The sequence below is a fragment of the Homo sapiens genome, chromosome 4 (genome assembly GCF_000001405.40).
Source record: "Homo sapiens chromosome 4, GRCh38.p14 Primary Assembly".
Taxonomy (NCBI): domain Eukaryota; kingdom Metazoa; phylum Chordata; class Mammalia; order Primates; family Hominidae; genus Homo; species Homo sapiens.
This window is the reverse complement of record NC_000004.12, coordinates 2,859,143-2,877,806: the sequence shown is the minus strand read 5'-3', so window position 1 is coordinate 2,877,806 and position 18,664 is coordinate 2,859,143. Positions and strand designations below refer to the sequence as shown.

The window sequence follows — 18,664 nt, the reverse complement described above, 5'->3', positions numbered from 1 at the left end:
ATGCGGATTCCCCAGGCTGGTCTCGAACTCCTGGGCTCAAGTGATCCACTGCCTTGGCCTCCCAAAGTGCTGGGATTACAGGCATGGGCCACCATGCCCAGCCAAGCACCCACACCCGGCCCCCTCTTGATTCTTGAAAGACTGGCTCCTTCCTGTCATTGAGTTCAGATTAAACCTTCCCTCCTGAGAACAGCCTTTCTGACCACAGTCACACTTAATCTAATCATCCTACTGCTTTCTGCATTGCCCTCCTGCTTGTTCTTTATTGTTTATTTCCTTCGACTAGAATGTAAAGTCCAAGACTTGATCTGGGTAGTTACAGAAGCAACATTTATGTCAAAATTCACCAAGCTATATACTTAAGATTTGTGTACTTTATGTAAGTTATAACTCAGTAACAACAACTAAACAAAATCTACTAAAGGCCTTGTATGTCTAGTTTACTGCTAAATGCCCAGTTCCTTAAACAGCACATAAGAGACAATCAACATCTTTTGTTTTTTTTAAGAAAATCAATAAACTTCTGCCAAATGACACTCCCCTGGTATGAAGGGGCACAGTAAGAACAAATCAGAAGAAGAAGGGACAAAAAAGGATGATGCACACACAAAGGCAGCAGCAGCAACATGAGAAAACTACGCAGATACAACGACCTGATTAAAGGTGCAATCTGGAAAACACTCAGTTGGCCATGACTGTGGCTCAAAATGCTGACTCTAACTAAAGGTATCAATCAATTAGCAGGTACTGTTAAGGCTGACCATACACCCAGGAGACTGAGCTAGGGTTTTTTTTTTTTTTTTTTGAGACAGAGTCTCGCTCTGTTGCCCAGGCTGGAGTGCAGTAGCACAATCTCCGCTCACTGCAACCTCCGCCTCCCGGTTTCAAGTGATTCTCCTGCCTCAGCCGCCCGAGTAGCTGGGATTACAGGCATGCGCCACTATGCCCGGCTAATTTTTTTTTTTTTTGGGACGGAGTCTCTCTATGTCACCCAGGCTGAAGTGCAGTGGCATGATCTCGGCTTACTGCAAGCTCCGCCTCCCGGGTTCACGCCATTCTCCTGCCTCAGCCTCCCGAGTTGCTGGGACTACAGGCGCCCGCCACTACGCCTGGCTAATTTTTTTTTGTATTTTTAGTAGAGATGGGTTTTCACCGTGTTAGCCAGGATGGTCTCGATCTCCTGACCTCGTGATCCACCCATGTTGGCCTCCCAAAGTGCTGGGATTACAGGCGTGAGCCACCGCGCCTGGCCAATTTTTGTATTTTTAATGGAGACAGGGTTTCACCGTGATGGCCAGCCTGGTCTCGAACTTCTGACCTCAAGTGATCCACCCACCTCGGCCTCCCAAAGTGCTGGGATTACAAGCTTGAGCCGACGCACCCAGCCTAAGCTAGGTATTTTTTTAATTGTAATTTAAAAATTGCCCCAATATATAAGGACCCTCTAGAAAAGTCACAAGAGTAAAAAGGAGAAATTAACACTTCCTATCCTTTACGACACTGAAGATTTTTCATTTATGATGTCTGATAACATGAACTGAACTGAATTCTTTCAACAACCATATACGTATACTCAAGGCACTGATTTCCTGTGATAAGATCAATGAACTATGCCACTCATACAACAGGGCATAAGACCTGAAGTATTAGAAAAGGAAAGATGACATCTGGTCAGAGAAAAGACTTCTCTTCTCACAGGGCTTTGCAGAATCATGGACACCCTCTTCTTTTGCTCCATCATGTTGAAGTCCTGGCGAAGGTCTGGTGCCATGTTCCTCTCCCTCAAGTACTCTGGGTTGTTCTCATCTACTCGGTCGAAGTACCTCTCCTTGTGAGGGGCTGTGGTCGGGGGTGGTGAGGTCACCACCGCAGCACGAGAATCACCATTCATTGTACAATCTTTCTAGGTTCCTACAGAATCAAAATAAAAGAAATTATTGTTTTCAAATCAATGTCTAACAGTGTTTCATGATGAGCACATGAGCTTGGTAAACACAATCTTCAACAGGAGGATGTAATGACCAACTGACAGTGGAAACCATGACCTGTGAGGCTTCTTTGTGGCCTCAGAGGCACATGGCTGATCAACCACCTCCCACCCTCCCACTAACCAATGCTGTGTTTTGTCCTAGCCATTGTTCCAAAGAGGAGAACAAGACAACAATCTAACAAAGCAATTAAGTCCTCTGACAAATCCAAAAAGAACTAAATATTAAACTTTTGACCACGTGATTCTTTACAGACATGATTTGTTCCACACAGACAAGATCTGCTAAGAACAGCACAGTTTATTCCAAAAGAAATTTGATTTCTGATTTTTTTTCCCATAAGGTACCAGCAGTGGTTTTGCAAAGGATCCCACAAACAGATCAACAGAAGAGAAGCCACTCACACATAACTCACAAAATGGTAAATGTTCCTCCCTAACAGCTCCTTTCTGGTTAAAAGAACAATGGCAGGTACCAGCAATTTGAGGTCAAGATGCTCAGTTTGTTAATAACCTAACATGCCAAGATGGCTCAAATTTAAAATTCTGTGAATATGGCTACTGACATTACATTCTTTTCTCGGGGGGAGGGGAACAGGGTCTTGTTCTGCCACCGAGGCTGGAGGGCAGTGGCCCAGTCACAGCTCACTGCAACCTCAACCTCCCAGGCTCAAGTGATCCTTCCACCTAAGCCTCCCAAGCAGCTGGGACTATCAGCGTGCACCGCCATGCCCGGCGAATTTTTTAAAAATTTTGTAGAGATGGGGGTATCCCTGAGTTGCAGAGGCTGGTCTCAAACTCCTGGCCTCAAGCAATCCTCTCACCTTGGCCTTCCAAAGTGCTGGGATCACAGGCATGAGCCACCACGCCCTGTTAGCTTTCAAATGTGCATATGAACCACCTGGGAATTGAATTAATACACAAATTAAGATTCATTAGGTCTGGAGTGGGGCCTGAAATTCTGCATGTCTCATCAATTCCCAAGTGATACCAATGCTGCTGAACTTGAACCGCACTTTGGATAACAAGCCTATAAAGTAGAGTTTATTATGCAAAAAAGATATTTTTATTGTGGAACCAATAACCAAAGAATCAGTTGAAGAAATTAGTGTTTTTTTTTAAGAAAAAGATCAATTTGATATTTCTGTTCTAAATGTAAAGATAAGATAAAAATATGCTTAAAGTGGCAGTATTTCTTTCTTTTTTTTTTTTTTTGAGACAGTCTCACTCTGTCGCTCATTCTGGAGTGCAGTGGCATGATCTCGGCTCACTGAAACCTCCGCCTCCCAGGTTCAAGTGATTCTCCTGCCTCAGCCTCCCGAGTAGCTTTGATTACAGGCACGTGCCACCACACCCGGGTAATTTTTGTATTTTTAGTAGAGACGGCGTTTCACCATGTTGGCCAGGCTGGTCTCGAACTCCTGACCTCAGGTGATCCGCCCGCCTAGGCCTCTCAAAGTGCTGGGATTATAGGCGTTAGCCACCGCCCCCAGCCACTACTTCGAGAACTTAAAGGCAAAACATGAAAACAATTGGGGGACTAAACATCAACATAGAATAAACGAACTAATGACCTCAGTGGAATCTTTTTTCTCTTTGTTTTTGAGACAGAGCCTTATTCTGCCACCCAGGCTGGAATGCAGTGGTGCAATCATAGCTCACTACAGCCTGGAACTTGTGGGCTCTCAAGCCATCCCACTGCCTCAGCCTCCTGCATAGCTGAGACTACAGGCCCACATCACCACACCTGGCTATTTTTTTTTTAGTTCTTTGGTAGAGATGAGGTCTCACTATGTTGCCCGGGCTGGTCTCAAACTCCTAGGTTCAAGTGATCCTCCTGCCTCAGACTTCCACAGTGCTGGGATTACAGGCAAGAGCCCAGCCTAAGTGGAATCTCTGAAACTTATTCTTCTCTATTTATATCCTTTAAATTGTTTAATTTATTCTGGTTACCCAATCTATTTATTGTAAACCTTCCAAAAGAATGACCAAAGAACAAAACAATAAGAGTTATCTGGCAATATTTCCTCATTAGATGTAATTAAAGCTGAACATTCTGAGCCAATAATAAAAATGTTCTGCTTCGTGTTTCAAAAACAATAAAAGACCAAAGAAAATCATTATGAGTCCCAATTATAAGCCATTTTCATCGGTAAAAAAGGATATGAGGGTATATTTTAGAGGTAACTATAGCTATTTCCTGGTTCCCAGAAGACAGTGAAAGACAGGAATCTTTGTAAAACCATCATATTTAAGATAAGGCAGGTATTACTTTCCCCTAGTTACAAATTGCTGTGTGAATGGGATAAGATAAACACTGCAGGCCAGGTATATACATGCTCCATTCCTTCAATAAGGAAGTCTATAAATGTAAATCAAAATGAAAGTATACACATTCTGAGCCCAGTAATCAAGATTAAGCATAATTCTACTTTGCAGTACAAACCTGTCCTTCATTTTTATCAATTATGACTGCAGGTTTCATCAACTTAGTTTTCAAGTAAAATCTCTACAGAGAAGTTATTATTTGCTGGGTACAGTGGCACATGTCTGTAATCCTGGCACTTTGGGAGGCCGAGGCAAGTGGATGCCTGAGCTCAGGAGATTGAAACCAGCCTGGGCAACATGGTGACACCCTGTTTCTAATAAAAATGCAAAAATTAGCGGGGCGTGGGGGCACGCACCTGTAATCTCAGCTACTCAGGAGGCTGAGGCACAAGAATTACTTCAACCTGGGAGGCAAAGTTTGCAGTGAGCTGAGTCATGCCGCTGCACTCCAGCCTGAACAACAGAGTAAGACTCCGTCTTAAAAAATAATAATAATATTATTTAATCAAAAAGTTAAAAAAAGAGAGAGAAAGGGAAAAACATGCAAAAAACTAACTTCTGGAACATTTTTCATAGTATCTTAGAATAAATTTAAACTAATTTAAAATAAAATAATTTTAAAAGTAGGAACAGGTCAGGCGTGGTGGCTCATGCCTGTAATCCCAGCACTTTGAGAAGCTGATGTGGGAAGATCACTTGAGCCCAGGAGTTCCAAGCTGTCTAGCTTACATAGTAAAGACTGCATCTCAACAAAAAAAATCAAAAAAATTAGCCAGGAGTGATGGCACACGCCTGTAGTCTCAGCTACTCAGGAGTCCGAGGAGAGAGGATCACTCGACCTGGGAGGTCAAGGCTGCAGAGAGCCATGATGGCACCACTACACTCCAGCATGGGTGACAGAGCAAGACCCTGACTCAAATAAATAAATGTAACATAAACATTAAAATCTGCTCAATACAATATCATGTAACTACAGAGACTCTTTAGCATAATACAGATAAAAGAGTATAAAACATATTAAGTGGCAAACTATATTTCTTATTCTATTATGTAATGCCATAATTATACACTGGCAAAATGATATAATGGCAAATAAGCTGGAATAAATTTGAGTAAGTTGATTAAAGTATGGATGAATGTTTCTCTATCTCAATATTCTATAATGTTGCTTTGATTTTACTTATGTAATACATTTTAAGATTTCACCATCAACAATATATTGATAGCTAAATTAATGAAATCTTTGGGAACAATATTTTCAAATAAACACAGACAACAGAAAACAAAAATCTGGATGAACCGTGACAAATAAGTATGGCCTGCCCAAGTGACATCTGCTTCCTCCACATCTCCCATCCCCCAGATGTCACTCAAATCCAAGTTGTCATCACTCACTTCCTGGACACTCAACGGCCTCCTAATTGGTTTCTCTACTTCCAGTCTCTTAACAACCCCCACAACAATCCATTCTCTAAAACTTGGCCATAGAGAGTTTTAATGTAAGTCAGATCATGTCACTCACTCCTCTGCTTAAAATCTGAGAACTAATATGTGGACCTTAGTAGGATCCTGATTGAAACAAACTGTAAAATAAAAATCTAAAAGTGACATTTGAGACAACTAGAAATTTGAACACTAGCTAGATTTTGATGGTATTAAGAAATTAGTTTTACATTTTAGGTGTAGTATTACTAGGATTATATTAGATACAGAAATGTTTCTGGATAAAATGACATCTGAAATGTGCCTAAAACTTATATGGGGGCAAGGGGAAATGAAGTTACATAAGACTAGCCATGAGCTAACCACTGACACTGGATGAAGGTTAGAGCAGGACTCATCACACCGTGCTGTCTATTTTGTATGTGTTTGAAACGCTCCGTGATTCTTCTTGCTCTCAGAAGAAAGCACCTCCAGACCTTACATGAGCTGGTCTCTGCCGGCCTTCAGATGAAGATATTTCAGCATGCTTTTTCAGACTGATACTACTAAGATCAGGATGAACAGCTATCTTAACATCCCTTTTTAAAAAATTTATGTTTTTATTTAATGTTTCCAAATATAAAAAGTCAAGACACTTACACCAACTATCTCAAATGACATAAAAGCAATTCAGTGTGTTTAACAATCATATTTCCCCTTCAGTTCTGCTGCTTTATACAATGGTATGATCGACAGGTAAATTGGATGGCATGTGCCTGGTTAGAAAATGTCATCTGTTGGCCAGGCACGGTGGCTCACGCCTGTAATCACAGCACTTTGGGAGGCCGAGGAGGGTGGATCACGAGGTGAGGAGATCGAGACCATCCTGGCTAACACGGTGAAACCCCATCTCTACTAAAAATACAAAAAAAAATTAGCCGGGTGTGGTGGCGCGCACCTGTAGTCCCAGCTACTCGGGAGGCTGAGACAGGAGAATGGCATGAACCCGGCAGGCACAGATTGCAGTGAGCCAAGATCATGCCACTGCACTCCAACCTGGGTGACAGAGCGAGACTCCAGCTCAAAAAAAAAAAAAAAGAAAGAAAATGTCATCTGTTTACAAAAAAAACAGCATGCAGCATAGTTTCTATTTTGTCTACAGTCAATTCACAAACTACTTACTTTGTTTTTTGTTTAGGAGGCACATGGAACTGAAAATTTTAGCTGCCCAATTTTATTCAACTACCCCACAAAAAAACACAAATGACAATCCTAACACTCTTCAATCTTTGGAGGGTTGAAATAGTAGACATTATTTGTTATCTTCAGTAGATTCAACTATTTAGCCTGAAAATGTTAACTTTTTCTCTTAACAGAGATAAATCTCCTTAGGGCCTTTCCTCTAATTTTGCTAGACTAGGTTCCAGAAGCCTAGTGAAGAACCCCTCCTGTGACATTTAAAGTGTGAAAACTGTAAAGTACTCTGTTGCATTATACAAATTCTTGCTAGCTGGACAGACTAAGGACAGTTGGTTTGCTAAATGGCATTGAAGAAAATCCTGACTGAACAGCACTCTCTGTTGCATTATACAAATTCTTGCTAGCTGGACAGACTAAGGACAGTTGGTTTGCTAAATGGCATTGAAGAAAATCCTGACTGAACAGCACTATTTAGTCCAAATAACGTCTCTTTTCTAATGTCCCAGAAAACACCACTCTACCTAGTACATTATTTACTGACTCGGAAATAACAAAGGTTATGCTGGAATATTCTTTCTTAGCAGAAGTACTGCAGCCCTGGGATGATCCATCTTTATTAATGTGTAACTAAACCTCAGGTCAGATACCAGACAAATTTTTGCTTCTCTCAAATATATAATGAGGGAATTCTGAAACTTTTGGACAGATTCAATTATTTATTGGCATCTCCCTTCTGGCACAGACATCTTTGCTAAGGGTAACTATTCCCAGCATTCACATGATTTACTTTTGAATCCCTAAAGCTGGAACATGAAAACTTACGGCTGAAACTAGGAAGAAGAGAGCCATTAAAGAAAGCCTCCGTGTAAAATGCCTGCTAGAGGACCCAAAGGATCTTGTCAGATTTCTAATGCTCTTTGATTGTCAGCTAATAATGAATTACTGCTCCGTGGGAAAAAGGAGATAATGAAAGTGGTATCCCCTGGTAATGTCCTTGGCCACCTGGCACCCGACTCCAGAGAGCCTTTGGAATTGTCAATAGGAGACCAAGAAGAGAGGTGATCTCTGCAGTATCTTCCCTTATTTCTACTAACTCCTGGCGCATAATAAATTTGCACTGGAGACACCTTCCACCTTACATGCAAGGCACCAGAGACTGAAAAATACGAAGAGCAGGAGATAACAAACAAAATTCTCTCAGTGCATGACAGAACTCCACTTACAGTATATCAGCAGGGGGAAAGTGTCCATGAGTGGGAGGTAGAAAGAACTGAGAGAGGATATTATGAGTTGGACTGTGTCCACTCCCCAAAATTCACATGTTGAAGCCCTAACCCCCAGTTCCTCAGAATATGCCCTTATTTGGAAATAGGGTCGCTACAGATGTAATTAGTTAAGATGGGGTCCACAAGGCAGACCTAATCCAAAATGACTTATGTCCTTATAAAACGGAAAATGCGGACAAAGAGACACGCACAGGGAGAACTAAGTGTAGATGAAGGCAGAGGTGGACGCAGTGCTTCCTCAAGCCAAGAAACGCCAAGGACTGCCGACTACCGAGCTAGGATGGGGCCCATTCTCCCTCACAGCCTCGGGAGGAACCAGCCCTGCCCACACCCTGATCTTAGACTTCTAGCCTCCAGAACTGTGAGATGACACATTACTGTTGTTTAAGCCCCTGGTCTGTGGCACTTTGTTACAGCAGCTCTAGGAAACTCATAGAGAGGGGCTGTCAGGAAAGCTTCACTGAGATGATTTCAGAGGTAAAACGTGACTGCCAGGTGGCTTGGGGAAGGCAGCAGTCACCTGGTGAATAAACATCTACTGAGCTTTAGGGAGTAGCACAGAAAACACAGCAGAGTGAGCGCAGTCAACCGTCGTCTGATTTCACATGCAGTACCTGGCACCCAGCAGGTGTTCCACATATTTTTAATGACCTAATTTAACTATTCTCTCTATTCTAAACCTTTCAGCCCCCACTCATTCTCAATATCCAACTCGAATGCTTCCCGCTCTATGAAGGTTCCCCACGCCCCAAGCCTGGCACCTGGACTCCTGTGTGTCAACATACACCATTCCCACCTCTCCCATGGCCACTTTCAAACAGGACCAAATCATATGCGGATAAATTATCTGGGTACATACTTGCTCCATCACTGGTCTGTGGGCCTGTGAAATACAGGGACAATACATTTCTAACTCATGTTTGTACAAGGGCCCTGGGGGAGTGTGTCATACATAGCAGGGGCTCAAATGAGACTGTTTATTCCCGAAGGAGGGTATTTGCCACAAGGGACATCTAACTTCCCTGGGACAAAGGGCTCCAAGAGGTCTGCATCCAAAATGAAACTGCATCGTCAGGAAATACGCAGTGAAACAGAAGGTGGAGAGTTCGCTGGAAAGAGTAACAAGATTGTAAACAGACTTGGGGGCTCCGACACTGAAGACTAAATCCAGGCAGAGGGCTGGGAACAGTGCAGCCGTCAGCACACACCCTGGCCAGCACCAAGAGACATGGACGCCCTGGCCAGAAATTCATTACAAACACTTGGAAACCTGCAATACTGGAAGGCTGCAGCACCAGCCAATGCAAAGGAAATCCCTGTAATCTACTGGCAGGAGGGAGCCCAACATCTGGCGCTATCTCCCAAACACAACCGTAGTTAAGCTCTAACCCCCCACTGCTTACAGTACTAGCCTAATGACACAGTTCTCCACCACCCTAAAAGAGAACACCCACCTTATGTTGAAGGTTCTTCTTCACAGCTTTAGGCTGACGGAGTGTGCCCTGTTTGGGACCTCAGAGCTCAGTTAAAAGCCTTTAATTACTCTGATCGGATCATTTCTATTCCTGTGTCTCCGGATGTCCTCTTGCAGAAGCAGCTGCTCAAAAGGCCCCTTTCAAATAATCACAGCTACAGTTATCACTGCTCACTATGTGTGTTTTAACTCATTTTTTCTGCAGATAAGGCACAACACAGTTAAGCAGCCAGTAATGGGGTTGCTGGAGTCTGAACTCGGGCTGCCTGACTCCAGAGCTCCTCCTCCTCCCTCTAATCCACATTCTCTCTGACAATCAGGATGTCTCAAAACAGCTCCAATTAGAAACAAAAGCAAAAAGTAAAACTGAACCACAGCAATTTGTCCCAGCCTACTCAAGTGGGTCCTCTTGCTTCCTCCCTTTTATGATGAATGGTTAGTTAACGGCTTCCCAGCCTAAATCATCCACATTTTATTAAGTCTTTTATACAATTACATAGCTGGTGTTGTTTTTCTTTTAACTACAGCATTAATTAATCCTATGGTATGTTATGAGAGATATTCCAGTTACTTGCTTAAGGTTTAGTAGGCAGTAAGTGGAGAAGCAAGAATCTGAAATTAAGACTATGGTTTGGAGACCGCACTCTTAATTGCTTCTCATTAAACTGTGTTCTTGTTGCTGACAACAGGACTCTCCAGTCCAAGGGTCAGTACTGAGCCAAAAATCAGAGGTTGGTTCCACTCATACTCCTATAAAACTTCAACACGTATGGAGTTACCTCACCTGTAAAGTAAAAACAGCTCCCCATCCCAAACTCCAGACCTAATTTTTCCCAAACCCAGTTGAGGAAAATGCAGCTAGAAAATGCAAGGGATCCAGAAAAGTGACCACGAATTGTCTAAAGACCCTATAAAGACCACTGCAGAGAACAATGTTCTCACACACACTCGTTAATTCCAACCACCCTGCAAGATTCCTCCATGTGCAGATCAAGACTGACTCAGTGTTTTTGTGGGTTTTCCTTCTTTCTTTCTTTTTCAGACTGGGTCTTGCTCTGTCATCCAGGCTGAAGTGCAGTGGCGTGATGTTGGCTCACTGCAACCTCTGCCCCCGGGCTCAAGTGATCCTCCCATCTCAGCCTCCCAAGTAGCTTGGGACTACAGGAGCGTGCCACCATGCCCAGATAATTATTATATTTTTTGTAGAGATGGGGTTTCACCAAGTTTCCCAGGCTGGTCTTGAACTCCTGGGCTCAAGCAATCCACCCACCTTGGCTTCCCAAAGTATTGGGATTACAGGTGTGCTGGCTCAGAGTTTTAAGCTTCAGAGGTCTCACAATAAATAAATGGCCGGCTCAAAACCTAAATCCAAGACTACTCACTCTCAATGCCAAGCTCATCTACTGTATTGCAGCACAGAAAATCAAAATGTAAACACGGGAAGAGCTAGCAGGCATACTGGGGCTCTTCTGTGTAGTTCAGCACCATCTCCCCACCATTTAGCACAGAACAGGCCTCAATAAATATTTGGTAAATGAATGAATGATAAAAGAACACAAAATCATTCTGTATTACTAATTTTAACAAAATTTGTTTTCATCCCAAAAAAAAAAAACGATTTAAAATAACCTCCAGGCCAGGCACAGAGGCTGACGCCTGTAATCCCAGCACTCTGGGAGGCCAAGGCGGACAGATCACCTGAGGTCAGGACTTTGAGACCAGCCTGGCCAACATGGTGAAACCCCGTCTGTACTAAAAATACACACACACAAAAAATTAGCTGGGTGTGATGGTGCGTGCCTGTAGTCCCAGCTATTCCAGAGGCTGAGGCAGGAGAATTGCTTGAACCCGGAAGGCGAAGGGTGCAGTAAGCCGAGATTGTGCTACTGCACTCCAGCCTGGGGAACAGAGGGAGACTGCCTCAAAAAATAAAATAAAATAACATCCAGAATCTTCAGATGGCCCATGAACAAATATCAATCAGCATACTCTTAAACAAGTTCTTCCAAGAAGAAATTCCACAAAGCAGACTGCAGTTAAGATTTCAGGAGTGAATCTAGAAATAATTTTATAAGTATGCTATCTCGCAATTGAGCAAATAACACAACCCAGAGAGACTCTGCTGTAGTTACTATACTAATTCACATATTCTGAGCCACATGTCCTGAACAATTACATGTGGGAAAAAGCAGAATTTGACTTATCTTCTGGCAATGTCAGCTACTTTCTCTATTTTTGCTCCCTCATTATACTGTTACTGTCCTTCAATTAATATAATATTTTAATTTTTTAACTATAGTTTTGTTGAAGTGATGAAATCTTTCAAAATCTTTTTATTGAAACAAAATTTTTTTTCTGAATTTCACTCTGTGAGGGTGGTTTGCTAAGTAAGGTTTGAGTTGGATTTTATTTTTCTGGAGCAGGGGGAAGGTAGGGAAGTTTGGCAGGATTGTAGATAAGGGAGATTAAAATACTGACCACAAAAAACAAACAGGCAGTTTTGACAGAATTTAATAATCAACAACTAAAAGTTCCTAGTTGTGAAGCAGTTGTTTTATCTGAAAGACAAATGATAAAAGAAAGCTTTGAAAATTATAGCAAGGGCTCATAAACTGAGAACACCACAATGGGTAAGTGAACTGAGAAAAACGTATTTATTCTGTACACGCAAAGGCTGAGACATGAGATACTTCATTAACTCTGAAACTTCTGAGGATGGTGCCAGGTTTTCCTTTTTAGAGCTAGGCAGGAAGCATTTAAAAATCACAAAAATAAGCCTAAGAAGACTTGCCAAAGGTATGTTCATTGAAAATTAATTGTGTCAGCTGATGGAGACTTGAAAGTCTTTATGCTATCAAGTAATTATGAGTACACAAAATTTTAGATGGTCTAGTCTTCACAAAAACAAGGAAATACTGTCAGGCAGGAAAAAAAAAACAAGAGAAAATAGTGTATGTATGGCATCTTTTGTGGGGAGAAGGAAGAGAATAAGAAAAACATTCACATTTCCTTCTATTTGCATAAAGAAATGCAGGAAGAATATACAACTTACAATGGTGATTTACTTGTAAGGAGGAACAGGGAGCTGGGTGGATGGGGACAGAGATGACCAGGAGATCCTTTATTTGTTCATAGATATACACACACACATTTTTAAAGATTAATTTATAAAAGGGAAATTTACAAAATAATAAAATTTGAAAAATAAAACAAGTGAGGCACAATGGGGTCCAGGAGTTCAAATCCAGCCAGGCAACAAAGCAAGACCCCATCTCTTAAAAAACCAAAAACTCAAACCATTAAGAACGTGAATAAAATAATAAGCATCACTGAGAGCAATAAGCCCCCCTTCCCTGCTGACATCAGCGCCCCCCACCTCCTGGAGAGTAGACTCCAGAGGGAGCCAGGGACCCTGACAAGAAAAAGGAAGGAAGTGTAAACACCTAAGAGTGATTATAAGCATAGGGCCACCTGGCAGAAGGGCACACAGAGCAGGACTCCAAAAATCTCCTGAACTTGGCATCTCAGATACATTCTAATAAATAAAATAATAAGCATCACTGTGAGTATAAAATGAACAGAGGACACTGTTGGAACATTGTATTTTCAGCAGCATAATGATACAAAACATTTGTTTAAAGTTTTATATTTTACAATATAAATCCTGTTTTTTGTTTTGTTTTGTTTTGTTTTTTGAGGCGGAGTCTCGCTCTGTCACCCAGGGTGGAGCAATGGCACGCACGATCTTGGCTCACTGCAACCTCCGCCTCCCGGGTTCAAGCAATTCTCCTGCCTCAGCCTCCCGAACAGCTGGGACTACGGGCACACGCCACCACGCCCAGCTAATTTTTTGTATTTTAGTAGAGATGGGGTTTCACCGTATCGCCCAGGCTGTTCTCGAACTCCTGAACTCAGGAAATCTGCCCACCTCGGCCTCCCAAAGTGCTAGGATTAAAGGCGTGAGCCACCACGCCCGGCCATAAATTCTGTTATTTAAGTGTTTTAGCAGGATAGCCTTATCCTGATCTCACAGGTCATAAAATGTAGGTCCTCGGAGATTGTGTCTTACCCTAAGGTAGAGACAGTAAGTTAACCAAACTCTCTAGTTGACAGTGTATAGGGGTTAAATGTGCCCCACATGGTCTCCACTCCAAAATGATTCTGTTCATATCAGAATAGAATCTTTTCTTTCTTATCTTTTCTCTGGGACTCAGTTTTTCCATCTATAAACAGGGTATAGTAGCCAGGCACAGTGGCTCATGACTGTACTCACAGCTACTTGGGAGGCTGAGGCAGGAGGATCTCTTCAGCCCAGGAGTTTGAGACCAGCCTGGGCAACACAGTGAGACCCTATCTCTTAGAAAACAAAACAACAAAACAAAACAAAAAAAAACAAGGTGTAGTAATGGCAACCATGAGTGATACAGTAAAATCAAAAATGCTGTCTGGAAAGCATTTAGAGTGTTTGGCAGACAGCAGACACTCACTGTAGGGTGGCTAAGATTACTGGACAAACCTAAGAACCAAGTATCCTGGCTTCCAAGCCTATGAACTTTCCACAGCACCAAATTGCTTCTTGCAATGATTTTTACTGTCAGTGACAACTGAAAATTTCTGATCCCTGTCATAACACTTGGTCTCCAAAATACATTAAATACTGTTTCTCATATATATAATTTGCTTCTAATTATTACTACCACTTTCCTATATTAACATTCAAATAATTTCTGAAGTCTAAAAATTCCAAGTAAAGCCTTGTACAGTGGCTCACAACTGTAATCCCAGCACCTTGGGAGGCAGAGGTGGGCAGATTGCTTCAGCCCAGAGTTTGAGACTAGCCTGGGCAATATGGCAGAACCCTAGCTCTACCAAAAAAAAAAAAAAAAAAAATTAAAAATTAGCTGGGCGTGGTGGCATGCACCTGTAGTCCCAGCTACTTAGGAGTCTGAGGTGAGAGGATCACTTGAGCCTAGTAGAGGCTGTAGTGGGCCATGACCATCCCACTGCACTCTAGCCTGGGTGACAGAGTGAAGCTCTGTCTCAAAAAAATTCAATAGGCATGACAGTACTGAGGTAGAGGGGAGAAGCCACACTCCAGAAGTCTCTATAGTTGGGTCATGGAGAGAAGTGGCAGATCCCATGCAACTTTTCAAATGCAACTGGAGCAGAGTCAAAGGATGACAATCATTTTCATGGAGTCAGCACTCAGTCACCAAATATCTACCAAGCACTAACTGTGAGGCTGCTATAGACCAGGCATTGCTCAGCAATCCACATTCTCAGGGGACATCAATGAACAAAACAAAGATTTCTTACATTCCTGCAGGGAAGCCAGGCAATAAACATGATAAATAAGTAAATCACACAGTCTGTTAGAAGGCGACAAGTGCTATGGGTAGGGAACTGGGAGTCCAGGGGGTGGGGAGGTGAGTCACATCATTAAGTAGGAAGAGCAAAGGAAAGCTCCCAGAGAAGGGGACAGCTAAGGAAGGACTCACAGACAAACAGGTGGTGAGAGCACTAGGCCAGGTGGCCATATATCCAGAAAGGCACTCCAGGCAGAGAGAAAGCTAGAGCCAAAACTCCAGGTAAGAACTGGCTTTTGTTTGGGAATGGGAGAGGGGAATAAGGCTGTCTGTTTATCATCTCCTTTCTTTAAGCATTGAGACAGTTCAGTTACATTTTGGTTAATAAGCAAAGATAAAAAGAGGCTAAGAAAAGAGCATCCTGTTTAATTTTAAATAGAAAACTAATGTCAGGGGTAGGATTTGAATCTACAGCTCCTAAAACCCTGGTTTGAACCTCTGAGACCCATTCAGTGAAGCTAGTTTCAATTCCTTCTGAGCGCATTCACTTTACCAGCTCTCAGCAGCATCTGGCACAGCTGCTCCCACTTTCAGGAGTCACTGTCCTCTTCCAGTTTTCAGACATCAGTTTCTGGTTTTCCTCCAACCTCTCCAGCTACTGCTGTGAGTCTCCCTTGCTGTTCTACCTCTTCTATCCAACTTCTACCTGCTGGGCTGCCCCAGTACCCTGAGCTGCTTGTCTTCCCTAGCTATACCATTGCCTTAAGCCAGGGGTGTCCAATCTTTTGGCTTCCCTGGGCCACACTGGAAGAAGAATTGTCTCGGGCCACACATAAAATACACTAACACTAATGATAGTTGATGAACTTAAATCTCATAATGTTTTAAGAAAGTTTACGAATTTGTGTTAGGCTGCATTCAAAGCTGTCCTGGGCCACATGTGGGCAACAGGTTGGACAAGTTTGCCTTAAAGGATCACACTGATCCAGGCCCATCCTTGGCTCTAAATACCACCTCCACCAGTGGTTCTCAGCCCTCGTCATACATTAGAGCCACCTAGATAGATTTAAAACAAACCATGGCTAGACCCAAACCCAGACCCACAGAATCTGAATCTCTAGGAATGGAGCTTGGGCATGAGCATTTTTAAAGGTGAGTCAAATGTGCACTCACAGTTGAGAACCACTGATTTATATACACTAATGGGCCCCAAATTTTTATCTCTAGCCCTAAACTCTTCCCTGAGGCCAAACTTGTATGTCCAAATGCCAACAAAACATCTGTTTGAATATTTAAAGTCTACTCAAACCTAACTTATTCAAAATAAGACTCTTAATCTCTAGTCTTGTCTCTCTGTATCTAAACTCATAAACTCTTAATAATTCATTCTCCATAAAGGTATTAATATATTTAAATGTCGCACCCTACTTAATTTGGGAGTGGTAGCTCATGCCTGTAATCCCAGCACTTTGGGAGGCCAAGGACCACTTGGGGCCAAGAGTTCAATGGCTTCCCACAGTCCCTAGAATAAAATCTGCACTCTTGACCCCAATATGCAGGGGCCTTCCCATTTTGGCCCCCAGCCCCCACGCTCCCTTGCTCACCATTTCCCAGACACACTAGTCTCCCTTCTGTCCTCAAACACTCCCAGCCCCTTCCTGCCTCAGAGTCTTTGTACTTGCTGTCCTCTCTGCCTAGAACAAAGAATTTATTCCAGCTACTTTGAATGCCTTAGTCCTTATCAGTTAGGCTGCAGGTCAAATTTCAACTGGAAATTTTGAAGTTTGCTTCCCTGCCCACCCTATTTAGAATAGTCCCCACTCCCAGCTCTCTCAAATCACCCTGGACTTTTTGTGTTTTCTTACCCTTCAAAGTACTTACCATCACTATCAGGGCACAGACTCTGGAGCTAGACTGCTTGAGTTCAAACTCCAGCTCAGCCACTTACTGACTCTGTAATTTTGGCAAGATTTCTTAACTTCCCTGGTGGAAGTTTCCACATTTGAAATATGAGTTTAACAACAGGTTAATGCATGTAAAATGCTTAGAATAAGTGCCTGACAAATAGGAAGTACTTAAGTGTTAACTCTTAGTATTACTGTCAGAAATAAACTATCTCCCCTAGTATAATAAAACTCCCAAGAGGACAAGAAACTGGTCTGTCTCATTCACTACTGTATTCACAGAGCTGTCACGTAATAGTCTCTCAATTAATACATATGGAAGAACAAATACATTTCCAGATCTAACATTTTGGACTAACAACGCTAATCTAAGTTTTGTTTCTAGAGGCATATGACTAAGAAAAACCTTTGCTTTGCTTCATTCAATCACAACTGACGTCCGACTGAAGAGACCCTTGGAGTACAGCAACAAACTAAAACACTCCAAATTTCACTCACAAGTTCGCCACTCACAAGGAAATTCCAGACTGCAAATGGACAATCTGCATATCAAATTGGGTTTTGTATCTCTGAATTAAGAAGGTCTTATGTTTCCAAAATCACGTCAATTCCCAAAGTTGATAAAGCAAACGTAGCTAGTATGTCTGCCTCTAGATGACTCGATTTGGAGACTAAAGCTCACACAAACAACTCCCAGAGGTAGGACAATAAGAAAAGAAGAAAAGGAGATTTCTAGACCTCAGGGAAGTTATAACTAAGTGAGCATGGTACCTGCTCACTTTATGAAACCCCATAAAGACTGCAGGAAGACTCAGCTAAGTCAGGAAGCACAGGTTGACCAGACACATCAGTATAGAAAACTCTACGTAAGATTTTATAAGGAAGGAAAAAACCAACACTCTATAATCTAATTAAACACGTAAGGAGGGATTAACAGTACTAACCTGAGAATGTTTCTCCTGAAAAAAAAAAAAAATGGAGCAATATCAGGGGAACCATTTAATAATTATAAAACAGTAAGATGGAAAAGTATGTCATTATAAAGTGATCTTATGAATAACGCAGCTGCTGAATGAAATGGCAGCAAACAATGTGTCTAAAGTGGTAACTGCTTGAAGGTTAAGCCTGACACTGGAAAGGAAACCTTACAGTAAAGAAAACCTCCAAAATGGGTGAGGATTAAATAAAAAGTTTCATTTCCTTTTGGCTTACATACTCCGAAAAGGAAGCAGAGGCTATCACTAAAATTTCTCTGTTTTGGTAGATGGGAAATGTCTGCTTTGGTTTTGCTTTTTTGAGACAGGGTCTCACGGTTGCCAAGGCTGGAGTGTAGAAATGTCTACTTTATTTGGCATCTCTCTCAGTATGTGAGCATGAATTTTTTTATATGCTTATTTACATTTAAAATTTCCCATGGCCTATGATTTCCTTTGTACACATATCTGTTGAGATCTTGATGTATTTATTTCTACACATCTGAAAAAAATAGTACAGGTATTGACCCTTTTATCATATTTGTCATTCTCAGACTACTATCTTCTATAATTTTATTTTTCAATAAGAAAATATTTTAACATTTTGCATATTTAGGTTGACAAACCTTTTCCTTTGTGATTTCTTCTGGTTTTAAAAAGAAAGTTATCATTCCTTCCCAGGCACACATCTAATAAAATGTTCCAAGAAAATGTTAAGGCGTTATCTCTGATAAACATTTTATTTTGCTTTTTCTCCACAGTGCCTCTATAATTTTAAACATT

The 18,664-nt window shown here is 41.9% G+C and overlaps 1 protein-coding gene across 24 annotated transcripts in view, besides 6 other annotated features; it reads right to left on the bottom strand.

Moving 5' to 3' along the window:
- The window catches only part of ADD1 (adducin 1), an 86,219-nt gene that overhangs the window by 52,256 nt on the left and 15,299 nt on the right, over window positions 1–18,664 (bottom strand). For 12 of the 24 annotated variants that reach the window (NM_001354762.2, NM_001354761.2, NM_176801.3 and 9 more), the window contains exon 2: window positions 1,697–1,911. In NM_001354762.2, the coding sequence (NP_001341691.1) occupies window positions 1,697–1,891 (195 nt within the window). In that variant the 5' untranslated portion in view covers window positions 1,892–1,911. Of the gene's footprint in view, window positions 1–1,696; window positions 1,912–9,677; window positions 9,957–17,851; window positions 17,867–18,664 lie in introns of those variants that run through there. The other 12 variants (XM_005247934.3, XM_024453887.2, XM_017007704.2 and 9 more) reach the window with 3 other exon arrangements.
- Window positions 2,138–2,663: an enhancer, noted in NCBI's record as "H3K4me1 hESC enhancer chr4:2876871-2877396 (GRCh37/hg19 assembly coordinates)". NCBI's record gives its function as "activates a minimal SCP1, AML or CMV promoter by ChIP-STARR-seq in primed H9 embryonic stem cells {active_cell/tissue: H9 hESC(primed)}" and the evidence as "EXISTENCE:reporter gene assay evidence [ECO:0000049][PMID:30033119]".
- Window positions 2,664–3,191: an enhancer, noted in NCBI's record as "H3K4me1 hESC enhancer chr4:2876343-2876870 (GRCh37/hg19 assembly coordinates)". NCBI's record gives its function as "activates a minimal SCP1, AML or CMV promoter by ChIP-STARR-seq in primed H9 embryonic stem cells {active_cell/tissue: H9 hESC(primed)}" and the evidence as "EXISTENCE:reporter gene assay evidence [ECO:0000049][PMID:30033119]".
- Window positions 14,233–14,944: an enhancer, noted in NCBI's record as "OCT4-NANOG-H3K27ac hESC enhancer chr4:2864590-2865301 (GRCh37/hg19 assembly coordinates)". NCBI's record gives its function as "activates a minimal SCP1, AML or CMV promoter by ChIP-STARR-seq in primed H9 embryonic stem cells {active_cell/tissue: H9 hESC(primed)}" and the evidence as "EXISTENCE:reporter gene assay evidence [ECO:0000049][PMID:30033119]".
- Window positions 14,945–15,657: an enhancer, noted in NCBI's record as "OCT4-NANOG-H3K27ac-H3K4me1 hESC enhancer chr4:2863877-2864589 (GRCh37/hg19 assembly coordinates)". NCBI's record gives its function as "activates a minimal SCP1, AML or CMV promoter by ChIP-STARR-seq in primed H9 embryonic stem cells {active_cell/tissue: H9 hESC(primed)}" and the evidence as "EXISTENCE:reporter gene assay evidence [ECO:0000049][PMID:30033119]".
- Window positions 15,739–15,818: an enhancer, noted in NCBI's record as "active region_21197". NCBI's record gives its function as "activates an Ori minimal core promoter by ATAC-STARR-seq in GM12878 lymphoblastoid cells {active_cell/tissue: GM12878}" and the evidence as "EXISTENCE:reporter gene assay evidence [ECO:0000049][PMID:35858748]".
- Window positions 18,000–18,069: a silencer, noted in NCBI's record as "silent region_15191". NCBI's record gives its function as "represses an Ori minimal core promoter by ATAC-STARR-seq in GM12878 lymphoblastoid cells {active_cell/tissue: GM12878}" and the evidence as "EXISTENCE:reporter gene assay evidence [ECO:0000049][PMID:35858748]".